The sequence below is a fragment of the Homo sapiens genome, chromosome 20, assembly GCF_000001405.40.
Source record: "Homo sapiens chromosome 20, GRCh38.p14 Primary Assembly".
Classification (NCBI taxonomy): Eukaryota; Metazoa; Chordata; class Mammalia; order Primates; family Hominidae; genus Homo; species Homo sapiens.
The window spans coordinates 22,331,293-22,347,456 of NC_000020.11; the positions used below are offsets into that span (position 1 = coordinate 22,331,293).

General features: G+C 44.0%; 1 pseudogene, besides 1 other annotated feature; it reads right to left on the reverse strand.

Moving 5' to 3' along the window:
• Nucleotides 2,879–3,173: an enhancer, noted in NCBI's record as "tiled region #5495; K562 Activating DNase matched - State 12:CtcfO". NCBI's record gives its function as "activates a minimal TATA promoter and a strong SV40 promoter by Sharpr-MPRA in K562 cells {active_cell/tissue: K562}" and the evidence as "EXISTENCE:reporter gene assay evidence [ECO:0000049][PMID:27701403]".
• On the reverse strand, nt 12,401–12,638 carry BBLNP1 (BBLN pseudogene 1; annotated as a pseudogene).

Here is a 16,164-nt window from a genome sequence, read left to right on the forward strand (position 1 = left end):
GTGAACTCTGGAGAACCTTCCCACTGTGACCTTCCTCCTTGAGCAGATTTGCAGATTTGCAGAATTTTCTAAGACCGTAACTACAACCCTATAAAGGGTTTTTCTCAGATGCAGAGACAACACATTAAAGTTAACCTTTATCCCAGTTAGACCTGACCCTCTGGGCACCAGATGAGCCCCTGATGCCAGGTCTGAGGACCTATCCTCCGTGCAGAGCCAGGTGTGGCTGGACAGTCTCACCCGCTCCCCTTTCTAAGACTCCAGGGCATGAGCTGCAGGAAACAGTGGGGTTAGGCAAAGAAATGATACACTTTAGAGCCTTCAGGCTCTCTGTTTAATATCATATAATGTACAAATAAATAAACCCATTTACATTTTAATGACAAAAATCATAATGAAATGAATTTACAGCACTACCAGTCCCACCTCACGAGGTCTCCTTTGCAGCCATCAGAGGGAGCGGAGATGAGCGCTGTGTATTCTCCAACTTGGTCTAGACATTGATGCTCCCTTGGGAACACAGAATGCTGGTTACCCCCTGGCACCTTTGCCTCATGGCCCTCAACCCTGCCTGTGAATTAGCATCATCAGCTTTACAGTGGAAAATGGAGGGCCCCTCCCCCAGAGGCTTTGGTTCAGCTCTTCTAGGGTGAGGCCAGGAACTGGTATTTTTTTAAAGCTCCCAAGTAATTTCAGTGGATACACATCAACACCAATCCTTGCTCTATATTCTAGGAATCAGGGTTGGAAGAGCCTAGGCAGAGAGGGAACCAAGGCCCAGAGGGGTTAAGTCACTTACTCAGAGGTTCCACAGCATAGCAAGTCCTAAAGCCAAGGCTGGAGCCTAAGATGTTGGGTCCTGACCCAGTGGCCCCACGTGGGCAGCTCCCTCAGTCCTTCTTTTTTTTCTCTTTTCCTTCTACCAGATCTGGAAATACCTATGGATATAATGTGGACCCTTTGTCCTTGGAGCTTTCTGAGCCACATGTTGGAGTTTCATCTCCAGAGAATCAAAACCAAGCTTCTGGGCCCAGGGTGGCAGAGTCAGTCACAGGAGTCGTCTTCCCCAGTGCAGAGCAGTTGGGGGTCCATCCATGCCAAGGCGCCCAAAATGCCTCAGGGAATTGTTGGTGCTTTGCCTTCCCAGACCCAGAGCTTTGATTAAATTTAGAGATCACAAAATCGTTTAAAAAAAAAACTTCCATTTTCCTTCCATTTCAACCCATCCTGAACAGTGAATCTGCCAGAACTCACTGCTGGACAGCCTCCTGGCTGGTTTTCTATCACCTCCAGGACAGGGTCTGAGCTCTCGGCTGTGGCCCACCGCTTTCCTCTGTGCCAGCCCTCCATTTTTGCTTGTTACCATACACTCCTACATTTCCAAACACTGGTGCCCGCCAGCCTGATCTATTGATTGTTTCCCACATTACTATTGCTCCAGAATCCAGTGCCTTTGCTCACACCACTTCCCGGGATTTAGAAGACTTCACTCTCCAGGCAGCATTTCTCAGTCCCTTCTCATCCCATGCCTCCAGCTCCACCACACATCCTGCTCTGGAGAAGGCTTCCTGATGCAAATCCCCCTAACTCACCTCAGGGCCTTTGCAGTAGCTCTGCTGTTCAGTATTCCTGCTCTTTCTCATAACCTGCTTCTTTTAAAGTTCCAGCCTCAACCCCCCGTTCCAGTGACACTGTCACATCACCCCATTTTACTTTCTTCCAGTGCACATCACGATTTGAAATCATCTTGAAGTTGTGTCCACTTGTGTGTTGTTGGTTTTGCCCTACATAAATGTAGACTATGTGGTATCCAGTGCTTTCTCTGCCTTGCTCACCTCTCTATCCCGGCACCTGGCACAGTGCGAGCACAAAGTAGATTCTCCGTTAGTATTAACGCATGAATACATGAGTGCAAGTATTTGTGGCCAAAGTCAGCCAAATATAATTCCTGTCCTCCGTGTCGTGGCATCCTGGGTGGATAGACCAGCCCACTACAAGCCTCTGCTCAGTCTGGACTAACATCTGCTTGTTCATCATCTCCTCAGGTGAGTCCTCTCGCTTTACCAATTGGAGGGTCGTATCTTTCAGAGATAGGACGTAGACATCTGGCTTCACTAGGGCATAGCAGGTGCTCAGGAAATAGGCAAGGCTAATACAAGAACCCTTCCCGTGGCCCAAGAGGCCAAACTCTGGTTTGTGAGGTAAAGGACAACCACTGTCTTTGCCCACTGTGAGGATGGACTGTTTTGAAAACAAAAGAGCTGCCATATTTGCAAAAACATTTAGTTACAACACTTTTACACTAACCTGCATAAGAAATCATATTCTAGGTCACAAATCAGAAAACTAGGACACACAGGCCAGATCAAGCCAGCCACCTCTTTCCTGATGGCCTGGAAACTCAAATGGTGCTTTTGAATGGTTACATTTGAAATGGTTATATAAGTACCTAGATAATATTCTGGAATTTTCCCTCTTGACCTACCAGCCGAAAATATTTACTCTCTGTATTTTGCCAACACCTGATTGATTTAGAGTATTGAATTATCTTCCAAAAATCTTACAAAACAGCAAAAGCTGTTTAATGCTGTTGTTCAGAAGATCAAATGTGCACTGGATGAAGTGAGCATGTGCAGAACTTATTTTCAACTCTAGAGAGATTGCTACGTTCTAGGAAAAGGTCTGCTCAAGGAACAGATCATCTACTCCACGATGCAAACAGGTTGGTCACGGTGAGAACGCAGGTGCGCCAGTCAGAACGCGGCCAGTGGGGAATGTCGGACTGTGCGAGGAATCGGCTGCAGAAGAGCATATTCAATCCTACACGAATGTGTGGCTGAAAATGCCAATTTCACCTAGGTTCAGCCCATTTTTTTTCACCCGTCAGTGTTAACTCTGATTCCGTGAGGTCTGGCTTTTAAGAATGGCAATCCTTTCCATCACAGCACAGTGCATGTTTCTCCTGATGGCTCAGGAGACACCCTCAGACACAGACGGGACCTTTTTCCTTAAGATGAGGGTGCGCTGCAGAGCGGTTATACCTATGCGTGTCCACGTGGGGGCTCCATAGAACAACATCTGTGTTAGAGCCCACTTCAAAACCAACCCACAGCCTCTCAATTGCCAGCTTACACCAAATATAATAAATGTCTGCCCAAATCTGTAATTTCTGTAAATACAATAATAAACGTGATCTGATATTTTGTTATTGAGATAAAAGAGATTTTCAGGTGAGATTCTTCTAGCCAGAAAAGCCAGTCTAGGAGTTAGATTTAAATGTTATTTCCATTCAGGTTGGGGAATTCAGAGGACCGGCTTGAAGTCAGTCCCCTGCCTGCCCTGGAGAATCAGCTGGGGGCCAGGGGACCACCACCTTGCTTCCTCTGGAAGAAGCACACTGTTAGAGTGCATCGGTCACCAGGCATTTCATGCCACACTAGGGCTGTCAGGAGTCCAATATCTAAACCAAGTGATGCCTGATCTGAAATAAGAGAACACTCTGAGTGGTCCTAATTTCACCAGAAGTACCATGTCAATGGTTATAAGTAAACTATTCATGTCGTCGGTGGCCTGGAAAACATTTAGAAACCTTCATGACCTTAATTCTTCTTAGCTCTTTACCATTTTTATAGACTTTCACTTGCAAATCTCATCTTATCTCATAAAATATACATGCGATGATATTTAAATTAAAGGAATTTATCACAATTAAATGACTAATTTCATATCTGGCCCAATACTTACTGTTCCTTTGCTATCTTTCAGAGGCTTGAGTTAGTTTACTTTAAAAGACTGTGTGGGGCCAGGCGCAGTGGCTCACACATGTAATCCCAGTACTTTGGGAGGCCAAGGCAGGCGAATTACTTGAGGTTGGGAGTTCGAGACCAGCCTGGCCAACATAGTGAAACCCTGTCTCTACTAAAAATACAAAAATTAGCTGGGCGTGGTGGTGGGCACCTGTAATCCCAGGTACTCTGGAGGCTGAGGCAGGAGAATCCCTTGAACCCGGGAGATGGAGGTTGCAGTGAGCCCAACCTGGGCAATACAGCGAGACTCAGTCTCAAAAAAAAAAAAAAAAAAAAAAAGACCACGTGCTCTCCTTCCAACAGCACAGTCTTTTTGAAATATCTGAAGCATGACCATGTGATGTAAGCAGACATCACTGAGCTGTTTCCAGACATCAATTTTTTGGTATTGAGCCTCAACAAACCTTTCTCTCATCCACCTGGTGCTGAGAAGTTATCCAAGAGCTAAGACAGAGCTCTCATTGGGGTCCTTGTGCACTTTTCAGAAATGAAAACAGATCTCAGAAAAGTCCATTCCAACCATATTCTGCTATCAATGGTATGTCTGTCCTGTCATGGTCTTATATTTCTCCCTCCAGTCTGAACAAATGTTACCAGTTTCAGAGTTTTTAGAATTCTTACCAGATAATAATTTCTCCAGCCCTCTGGGTTTAGAAAACAATACTTGAGGTAAGCTGTTTCTGATCTCCTGCTAATCTCAGATAATTGCTTTTGGGTTTCATGGGGAATCTGAAATTCTCTATGCCAGATTCACTGAATGGGTCTATGGGAAAGGGGCTTTTGGGAGACTTTTCACCTCTACTAACAAATCTGTCTTTAGCAGAGGTTCTATTGCAAAAGTGTCCTTTCTACCAACTGCCAGCTTGTTGTAAGAATCAAATACTACTAATAGGAACTCTAGATATTCTTAATCAAGTCCCCAGCTTCCTCCCTCCCTCCCTGCCTCTCTCTGTCCCTCCCTTCCTCCCTCCTTTCATTTTTTCTTTCCTTCCTTCTTTTTTTCTGTTTCCCTGACTTTGCTTCCTCTTTCTCTCTCTTTCTCCTTTGTCCTTCCTCCCTGTATTTTTTTCTTCCTTTATTTATTTATTTCTTAATTTTTACTTCTTAAATTGTTTAATAACCTTCTGGGAAACCCCCAGAACCTGGCTGTCAAGTACAGCTCTCTTGTTGGGTGGGTTTGAGTGGGAAAAGATATTTCTGAGCTTGACCTTGCAGTTCCTAGGAGAGAATATCAGGATTATGTTGGTCCCGCTGAGACTGCGGAACCTCAGGTAAAGTCTCCAGATGCTCTGCCAGTTTCCATTGAATTCTCTGACTTTCAACTTGGTAGTTAGTTCTTAGAGCTTACATTAAACTTAGACGTCACAACCTCAAGCCAAGAGTTCTGGGGGCCAGGCCTTTCTGACAAGTTGTGAATAAGCTGTACTTTCTGGAATAAGGACAGAGGCACCAGAACTCTAATGCACAAAGCTCATTGTAGAAAAGGCTACACATCCTAGGCCCACACGACCTTGTTTGGAAGTGCAAACCCAGCTACTCCACAGGCTGTAGCATTCTCTTGGACATGGATGGGTACACATTCTGGAATGGTTCCTCAAACCTCCATTTTACAAAACTAAAGCTACCATCAAGGGTTCTATTGGCCAAGTCGTGTAAATTGTTCCTGGAGGCTTTGCTTTCTGGGGAAATTCAGATCCATCACTGCCCCTATCTTTGGGCTTCAGAATGTTTCCACCTATTTGAATCTATTCCCATCTGTGTGCTCACTGCCTGGACAGTGTGGAGGTTTGGGGGACTGTGTGTCTCCAGGTTGGCTATAAGTTAACCTAGAATTTAATTTGGGTCTTTGGATGTCTCTTTAGAGTAAAACTTCGTGGATAATTATGAAAGTCAAAGATCCTTGAAATGCCTGCTCTTCCTTTGCAGCCTGGTTGGTTAGATAGACTCCAAAGGAGAAAATTAATTTTGAGGAATAACAACCAAAACTTAGAATGTGACTTTGCTCTTCTAATCCTTATAGAAAATATGTAAGATGTGGACTATTACTGATCCCCACTTGACAGAGAAGAAACTAAACCTTGGAGAGGTTTGGCAAATTTCCCAAGGTCATGAACCTGGTAAGTCACAGCAACAGGATCCACCATGAGGGTCATCTCGTGGCCTGTCCTATAAAGGCCATTCATTTGCAGGAAAGGTCTAGGAAGGCAAGGAAACCAATGTTTGCCAGGGCTTACTGTGAGTTAGATATGTCTACTCTTGAACATGCAGAAACACCAGAAAAGACTATTGATCCAGCAAAGCGAAATTTGTTTCACCTGCTGCATTTGCGGAGGGCAGTTGGGGGAGCCTCTGAGCATAGGGTCTCAGAACGGGGAAGTCAGGAAAGGATGTTTACTGGGTTTTAGTGAGAAGGCGGTAGTAATTTTTAAGGTCGATTTTGGAAGGTGGGAAGCCACTGGGTTTGGGCAGAGTTTCTGACCAACTATAGATTGGTAGCACAGCAAGATGAAGGAAGTGAAATGAACTAGTGTTAGTCTTGATAAGGAAACAATGTAATTGGTGCAGAGTCTTAATTTCAGGAGAAATTCCTGGATGTGATTTTTGCTTGTTCTCAGCATTGCAGGTAAGTCATTTTTGCTTGTTCTCCATATTGTTTACCAAGGCCATCTGCTTTCAGTTCTCAGGCACTAGGGGCAGACCAGTAGCTAGAAACAGACAAGATTCCTGCTCTCAAGGAGCCATGTCCCTGTTAGGTAGCCACTGTTCTTATTAGACAGTGTAGAAAAGAACGGGAGATGAATAATGATATTCCAATTTCCACACATAAGTGAAAGCTGGGTCTGGGATTTGAAGTTGAGACTTAAATTTTGGTTCTTTGAACTCCTAGCCTCTGCAATGGTAACACTCAGTCAAGAACATTCTCCACTCCATTCTTCTCTGCTCTCCCAGTAAAATACCCAGAGCAGGGTCATCACAGAGGGAAGACCAGGACTCTTGGGATCTCACAGAGATACTTGACCCCATGCTCATAGCAGCATTATTCACAATAGCCAAGGTATAGTAGAAAGAGCCTAAATCCCATCTGTGATGCATGGATAAAAAGAATGTGGTATACACTTACAGTGGAGTATTATTCAACCTCCAAAAAGGAAGATAATTCTGTAATCTGTGACAACATGGATGGAGCTGGAGGACATTATGTTAAGTGAAATCAGCCAGGCACAGAAAGACAAATATCACGTGATCTCACTTATACATGGAATCCAAAATAGTGAAACTGTAAAAGTCAAGGGTGTAATGGTGGTTTCCAGGGGCTGCGGGGGGAAGCAGAGGTGTTGATCAAAGGTGGAAAGTTTCAGCCAGGCGAGAGGAGTAGGTTCTGGAGACTGTGGTGCAGGATAGTGCCAACAGCTAATGATGCAGTATTGCATTCCTAAGATTCTCTAAGAGGGTAGAGCTTATATGACGCGTTCTTATAATAATAATAATAGGGGTGAGAAGAAACTTCGAGAGGTCTAGACATTTAATTATGTATAGCTTTATACATATTAATTTTACCTCAATAAAGTGATTTTTGAAAAAGAAAAGAAAATCCTCCTTGTGGAAATTTACAGAGGATGATTCCAGAAAGATACTATATCATAGACTATCAATCATTTGGCTTATCTCTCAAGCTCTTATAAACAGTAGGAATATTAATGGACTTTATTAACCTATAGGTCAATGAATTTTAATTTATTTAATTATCTTTAAATTTTCCTTGACAGGAGGAGAAAATAAGTAGGGCTTATTGAACAATAAAGAACATTTATTTTATATCAAAGTATAGGTCCCTATGCAGCCTTTATTTTATCTTTAATATTCAGAAGTGAATCCACAATGGCTTTCCTTCTTACTTATATGGCAACCAAAACTGTATGACATGGCAAAATATCACAAAACAGAAGCTAGAAGTTGAAGCTGTAATAAAAACTACCAGAATATGTGAATAATCTGATTTTTTAAATGGAATGACAGCACCTATGGTGTGGCTTTTCTTGCTAAACAGAGACACATTTTTATCCCTACAAATGGTGTCATGTATTTTTTTTCAGTCAGTTGTGTCATATTCTGGCTTCATACTTTTTTCCATGCTCATTTAAGGCCATGGAGTTGTCTAATACCTGTTAAGATCTTGGATAGTTTTGACCACCAGGAGGCGTGTTAGACCAGCAAATTGACACTTCGTCACTAGCGTCCATCCTTGAACACTTCGGAAGATTAAAGGTTAAAGATGAACGTGAGCCTCACTGAAAGTGATTGTAGAGAGATAAAGAGAAGGATTATAATTTTCAAAAGAAACTCTGAGGGTTTTTTTGTTTTGTTTTGCTTTTCAATTCAGCTCAAACCAAATGGTTGCTTTTTTTCCGTTTTTGTAAACTTGCGTCATGTACCTGTGAATTTCGGGCAGGGGCTGAGGTGTGGGGAGCTCTGCTGAAACTTTAAAGCAGAGTCGTGATTCTCTGCCCCCCTCCATTACAAAAGGCAGGCAATAATGTAAATAGAACGTTAGACAGGCTGTGGTTTGTGCTCAGCTGCTCAGGGTTTGCAGGACTGCTGCTTCCAGGAATCTAGCTTTCTCCAGGCTCAGCCTCAATTCAAGTAAGGCTGGACTGGCAGGACTAAATAGAAACTTACCCACTTTTGTTACCTCTTTTCTGAGTCCAGCAGGGAGGCAATCTTAGATCGTAGAAATTACTGCCCTACAGAAATGCCGATGTCCAGAGAGAAAGTGGCATGTCTAGTGCTGTTAATTTCACTACTGCTTTGTGTTATCGCTTTAATAAGATAGGGACTTATCCCAGCGGGGGCTGGGAGTAATGCCATTATTAAATGATTTTCTCTTGGCTCCAAACCCACCTTTCTATATCCTGCCTTGTGATGCCAGCACTGGGACTCTGCAAACTGCAGTTGGGCTTGGCCAGATGCTCCTGGCAAGGGGACGCTAGAGTGAGGCCGCAAATCTGGAGGGAGAGGGGCCCGACCGTTCCTCCTGAGGACTTCCTCCTCCTCCCAGCATCTCTCCAGCAAGGCCGCTTCCACCCAGCAGTGGCAGTTCCTTCCCACTGTTGCAGCTGAATCATGTTTGTAGTTTTCCAAAACTCACAAAACCAGCCCTATCATGCCCTCTTAGAGACTTCAGCTTACCCTTGCATAACTCCAAGTCCAAAGCCTGTGCAAAACAGTTCAGCTGACTTGGAAGGGAGATTGGCAGTTTCTTACAAAAGTAATCATATTGTTACCCTGTGAAGCAGCAGGCAGGCTCTTTGATATTTGCCCAGATAAGTTGAAAACTTGTGTCTCTACAAAAAAACTACATGAGAATGTTTATGCCAACTTTATTCATAATTGCCAAAATTTGGATACAACCAAGATGTCCTTCAACAGCGAGTGGATAAACAGACTGTAGTACATCCAGACGATGGAATATTATTCAGTAATAAAAAGAAAAAGCTAACCAGCCACAGAAAAAGACATAGAGGAACCTTAAACGCATATTGATAAAGAAAGAAGTCAATCTGAAAAGGCTGCATACTGTATGATTTCAACGATATGACATTCTGGAAAAGCCAAATCTATGGAGAAGTAAAAAGAGTAGTGTTTGTCAGAGGTTCAGCTGGGGTGGGGTTGTTGGGGATGAGTAGAGGGAGGGATGAATAGGTACAGGAGAGACAATTTTTTAATTTTTATTTTTTTAAGACGGGGTCTTATTCTGTCACCCAAGCTGAAGCATGATCATAGCTCACTGCAGCCTTGAACTATGGGACTCAAGGGATCTCCCATTGCAGCCTCCAGAATAGCTGAGACCACAGGCACACACCACCACACAAGCTTAGCACAGGAGATTTTTAGGGCAGTTAAAAGTATTCTGTATGGTACCCTATGGTGGATGCATGTCATTATGCATTTGTCAAAACCCATAGGATGTACCCAAGAGTGAACCCTAATGTGAACTCTGGACTTAACTATGGACTTTAATGAATAATAACATAACAATATTGGCTCATCAATTATAACAAATGTACCACATCATTGCAAGATGGTAATAATAAGGGGAGTGGGGGGGTGCAGGAGCATATGGGAACTTGATACCATCTACTCAATTTTCCAAAAACCTAAAACTGCTCTAAAAATAGTCTATTAATTAATTATTTAAGAACTCAAAGAAACAAAAGCCTTGGCAGTGTTTTTTACATTGATCAGTTATGTGCCCCACCATGGCTGGTCCAGGCCTGAGTCTCTCTTGCTCCACTCTTAGCATCTCCTGTGTGTATTTCGTCAAACCCATGTCAACTGTGTGGGCCACTCTCTGAACTCCTCCCTCTCCATGAGCTCCCAGGATTTTCTAGTTCCCTGGAGTCCCTTTTTAGGTCTTCTGGCAACAAAGCTGGAATTTTAGTTACTTGGTTCTGTGTGTACTTCAGCAACTGCATCTGCATCGAGTGCCGAGGGATAAAAGTAACAGACAAAAAAAAAAAATCACCAGCAGTTTCAGCACTTTAAGTTCCAGTCCTCTTCTATGAGTCACTTTTCAGAGTCCTCACAGCTGCCCTGTGCCTTATGTTCAGGTTTTATAGCGACATCCGCTGAGCAAGATGAGTGGCATGTGCTTATCCCATTATACGTGGGACCAGGACTTCTTATTATTTAGATATTCACATGACCAGTGCCAAATGGATATATCGGCTATAACATAAAGTGACCTGCACCTCTCAAAAATGCCAAGGTCAAATCAGACAAAAACTACTGAGGAGTTGTCCAAAATTAAAGCAGACCGAAGAGACGGAGCATAGCTCTAAAGTATATCACTGGAGAAACTGGCAACATTTAAATACAGTCTGTGGATTGAAAGTATTGTATCCAAGTTAAATGTGCCGATTTGGGTAACTGTTATGGTTATGGAAAGGGATATCCTGTTCTTTGGAAATAGACACCAAAATATATATTAGGCAGAGGGGATGCTATCTTTAGCTCACTTTCAAATGGTTCAAAATGCACATACACATACACTCTCTCTCACATACATATGCATGCACACGCGCACACACACACACACCTGCACATGCATGCAAGCTGAGGGGTGTAGAAGAAGGAACAATCCTAAAGGGACTGCTATTCCTAACCTGACCCTGTCCTAGGCCACCAGCACACAGCACCCAACCAGCATTCAACCTTCCGACTGGACATGGACACCCTCTAGTTGCCTCAATGGCTCAGGGCACATGCGGAGGGCTGGCTGGGCCCAGCTGACAAGAATTCATATATTTGGTGAACTTCCTTAGAGTGAAATAGACAGGCTCACAAGCTTGTTCCGTGAGATACACACACACACACACACACACACACACACACTCCCCACTCAATGAGTCGTTAGAATGGAGAAGCACATGTTTAAAATCCATAAAACAAGACATAGAACAACAGAGTAGCTTGATGGTGAACTCGGCATCTTTGTGGCTGTGTTCATGTGGCATTCATTCATTCATTCATTCATTCGATAAATGTTTACTGAGCTACCACTTGCAAGGAAGTGCTGACAATAGTCCTGTAAAAAAGACACTTTCTCTGCACTCCTTAAAATGACAATCTTTTGGTGGAGAATTATTAGCAGGGTTTATTGGGCCCCACCTGGGGAACTCAGGTAGAAATAAGAGGACAGTTTTGCAGAGGGCTGCAAGTCTCCCAGTGCTGCACAGAGGAAAAAGCTTGAGAACTTCAGTTGAATATTGTCAGGCTAACACCACGCTTGTCCCTGGAGACCTGGGACCACAAGACAGAAAGAAGGCTATTAGGTCTTAGGGACTCTACCCTGCTAAGGAGTTTGGACGTTTTGTTTTTGGTGTTTTGTTTTGTTTTGTTTTGTTTTGTTTTGTTTTGTTTTGACAGAGTCTTTCTCTGTTGCCCAGGCTAGAGTGCAGTGGCACGATCTCGGCTCACTGCAAAGTCTGCCTCCCAGGTTCAAGCAATTCTCCTGCCTCAGCCTCCTGAGCGGCTGGGATTACAGGCGTCCGCCACCGTGCCCGACTAATTTTTGTATTTTTTAGTAGAGACGGAGTTTCACCATCTTGGCCAGGCTGGTCTCGAATTCCTGACCTCCTGATCCACCCACCTCGGCTTCTCAAAGTGCTAGAATTACAGGCGTGAGCCACCGCTCTCGGCCGGAGTTTGGACTTTTGATAGGACACCCGATGCAATTGATTGATGTGTGTGTGTGTGTGTGTGTGTGTGTGTGTGTGTGTGTGTGTGAGATCCATTGAATGTGGACGCTCAAGGCCTGGACAGAGTAGGAAGTGCACAGAAGGCTGAGCAGGCAGGCACGTGGGTGGGACTCAGGCCCACCTCTGGCCCCAGAAGGGGATGCCAGGCGGTGGGGACCAGCTTAGACAGGCAAAGGGGACTGTGGGAAGGTGTGGGAAGCTGTCCCAGGCTGCAGACCCACCAGGGTACCCTGAAGGCTGGCCCTGGAGAAGGTATTTAAGCCAAGAGGTGAGTGCCCAAGCCGGAGCCTGGCCCAGGGGACACGGTTGGGCCTGTTTCGGGGCACCCGGAACCTAGGGACTGGCATGGCCGGGACCTCCCGGAGCTGCTGCTGGAACTCAAGGCGCCTCTTCCGGTTGGACTTCAGCGGCTACTGGAGGCAGGCGTGGAGGGGGTCGTTCTCCTGCCGGTGGTCCAGACAGAAGTTGACCTGGTCCAGGATGTGATGGCAGCATATTCTGCTTCCCGGAAGCCGTCGCCCTTGCCTTGGTCTCCCGCTGTCCCCGCACGCCCACGTTCCGCATGGGACCTGACTCAGGCACCAGGAGGGCCCCGCGACGAAGGAGCGCGGCGACCTTCGCTCTGAAAGCGGGAGCCGGGTGGGGGCATTGGGGGTGGTCAGGGAGGATCGCAGATGCGTTTTAGACAATAAGACAACAGACAGTGGCGATTCCCAACCCTGGCTGCACAATAGAATGAGGGCCTTTTGGGGTCTCAAACTGATCTAAGAGTAAAGTCTAATAATTTTTAAAAATCACCCTAGGCCAGTGGTTCTGAAAATATGGTCCAGAGACCCTCGAGGCCCTAAGGATCCTTTTCAGAGGTCCATAAATTCAAAACTATTTTCCTAATACTGTGCTCCTGAGAAATGACTTGCTTTATTCACTAGTGTACTCGGGATTTCCAGAGGCGAGGGCACATGGGATGTTCCAGCAGATCAAAAGCAGAGGCAGACACGAAATTCCAGGTGTCTTGTTAAGCCAGTCTTTAAATAGAAGGCAAGCAGGTGAAATTCTTTCCGCCCAGCTTCTGTTTTGGAAAAGTATAGTATGTTTCATAAAACTGTTCATTTATGTTACATAAGTATTATTTTATTTATTTATTTATTTATTTATTTATTTGAGATGGAGTCTCTCTCTGTCGCCCAGGCTGGAGTGCAGTGGTGCGATCTTGGCTCACTGCAACCTCTGCCTGGGTTCAAGTGATTCTCTTGTGTCAGCCTTCCGAGTAACTGGGATTACAGGCAAGCCCCACCACGCTCCGCTAATTTTTGTATTTTTGGTAGACACGGGGTTTCACCATGTTGGCCAGGCTGGTCTCGAACTCTTGACCTCAAGTAATCCGCTGGCCTCTGACTCCCAATGTGCTGGGATTACAGGCTTAAGTCAAGGCACTGGGCCGATTAATGCATAAGCATTTTTAAATCTCAGTTATATTTTCTAATACATTAACTATCAGTAGATAAGCCCACACAAACCAAATCTCTTTACATTGTCAATAATTTTAAAAGTATAAGGGGATCCTGAGACCCCAAAGTTTGAGAACCTCTGTCTAGACATTAATACTAAAAGATAAAGAGTAGCCTTAAGAGTTACCTAACAAGGGATTCAAGGAGGGTTTTTTAAATTATTCATTTACAGAAGCTGGGGCCAGGATGGACCCTGAATGTACAAGTAGGTCAGATCCACAAAGGCCACATTTGCAGCTGCCTGGTCTCCCCTTCGTCCTTCCTCATCAATTCCCATCCACCAGAAGCTTGGATTTGGCATAAAATATTGATCCCCTAATTCTGAATCTCATCCTACAGACCTTGTTTCTTGCACAAGCTGAGTTCACCATAAATACAGAGCAGGGGAGTTCCTTTGAAAGTGGCAGATTGTTAAGAACTGCTTTGGAAAGCTGATCATAACTCTTGCCTCTTGTTACCTAGATTAACTTTCCTGCATGGTTTGCGGGTTCTCTATGGCTATTTCTCTCTTTCTTACAGTTTAATAAAGGATTGGGTTGAGCCATATAAAATGATCATTTTTGCAGGAAAAAAATAACTGGATATCGGCAATTTTATATGATGTAACCTAATACATTGCATGGCATTGTCACATTGTATTTTATTTAACCCAGGCAAGAAATGTGCTTTGCACCCTTGAGTATATGCAAGAACAGCTACCAAAAACAGTTATTCTGAAAATGGCAAGATGTCTTAAAAAGGATAGAAGCCCTTGCTTCTTGGCCTTATTCAGGGACCTTGCTGCTGGTGTGTAGTTGAACATGAGAGCAAAGCAGGGTCTACTGATTCCAAAGTCTGTGCTGTCAGACCATGGTGGCTAGACATTGAAGTAACCAGCAATTTATTAACTAGCACATCTCTGTACTCCATTGTGATGCTAACCTCCATTTCTCATGTGAATCATTGCAGGATTCTTAGAGTATATTCTCAGGTCTAGGAAAACTTAGATTACACCCTTTATGACTCCTGTAAACAATGTATTATATTGCGAGTTGGTAATATGTACTATTTAACTCAAAGTTTTTGTCATCTGAAAAATGCAGGTAATAATAATATCTACCTAAATGTGTGCAATAATTTAAAGGAAGTTCTTGGTTTATACTAGGCGTGGCCTTGGGGCTCAGTAAATACTATTTTCTCCCTTTCACCACCAAAAATGCATATACACTCATGTGTATGTACAAATTCACGCAACACACACTCTCATGCAAGAACACCCTTGCACATACAAGGATACTCGCTCATACATACATGCTCACACAGTGCTAGTATGCATGAACACTAGTATATGCTGGGGGCAAACACGAATGATAGTGGTAACCTCTTATCCCACTGTGTCTCCATGAAAGCTTTAAAGGGACCACTGTGGAACAGAAGGAGCATAAATCCAGAACTCGGAAGCATCTTCTTATTCTTCTCCTTTGTTCTTTGGTGCATTATGTTTGTTGTAAAATCCCTAGGCCTCTCAACCAGGTTTTCTCATCTGCAAGATGAAGGCATGGAAGATGATAGCAGCTTCCTGCAATTTGAAAGTCATTTTTTGACAAATGTGATCAACATCTTTTGTGTCTGGAGGCACAAGTTCAGACCCCAACTACATCCCATGGGAGTTCACTGATTTGAAGCACTGCTTCCTCCTCTCTTACAGTAAGTATGGGCAGCCCGATAGGTCTTTGTGATAATTAAATGAAATATAAGAACACCCCTACCCACTCTGTGAGGATCTGTGATCTCAGCTATGTCCAGCAGGACAGATGACACCCGGTCCTTCATGTGACAAGATCCTATTTCTCCCACACTTCTCTCTCCCAGAGTCCCAGGCAGAGCCCCACTCCCATGCCTTGACAGTGAAGCAGAAAATTTTCCTGCCTCCTTTGAATGAACTTAACACTATGTTCACACATCATATAAGGAAAAAAAAAGGAAAGAAACCCCTCACACCCACTCTGGTACACCTTGGTGTTTGCCATTATTAGAACAGCAAACGAAATACTATTGATTCAGAGGGTTTGTGGTTTACCGACCTAGTGCAGTTAAGTTCCTCTTCCTACCCCCATGACTCATGAATACACATCAAATCCTAAATAGTTTATTTACCGTTTGAACAGTTTTTTGCTTCTTGTCCTATTTCCCTCTGGACAGACAACCCAAAACGCTTTCTTTACCCACAGAAACAAATTTAAAAACAAGAAATACAGTTCTAGGAATAAAGAAAGATGTAAGAACGTTAATTTTATGACAAAAGAAACCTCATTAGAGAGTCTTATAGGAAAAAATATCTGAGTTCCAATTTATATCCCGCCATAATAAAACCTGTTTTACTCCAAAATTGTCCTGGATTGGATGAGAAACAATAGAGTAACCTCACTGAGAAGCAGAGCACTCAGCTTGGGTGAGTGGGGGCCAAGGCAGGAGCGAGCAGGAGCTAGTGCAGACGTCTGCTTTCTGGATGCGGGAACCAAGGGGCTTGCCCGTTAACCCTTCCTAATTCACATACCCTTTAAAACCTTACTGCTTGAGGCATGGTCCTGGACCGAGGGTCACCTGGAAGCT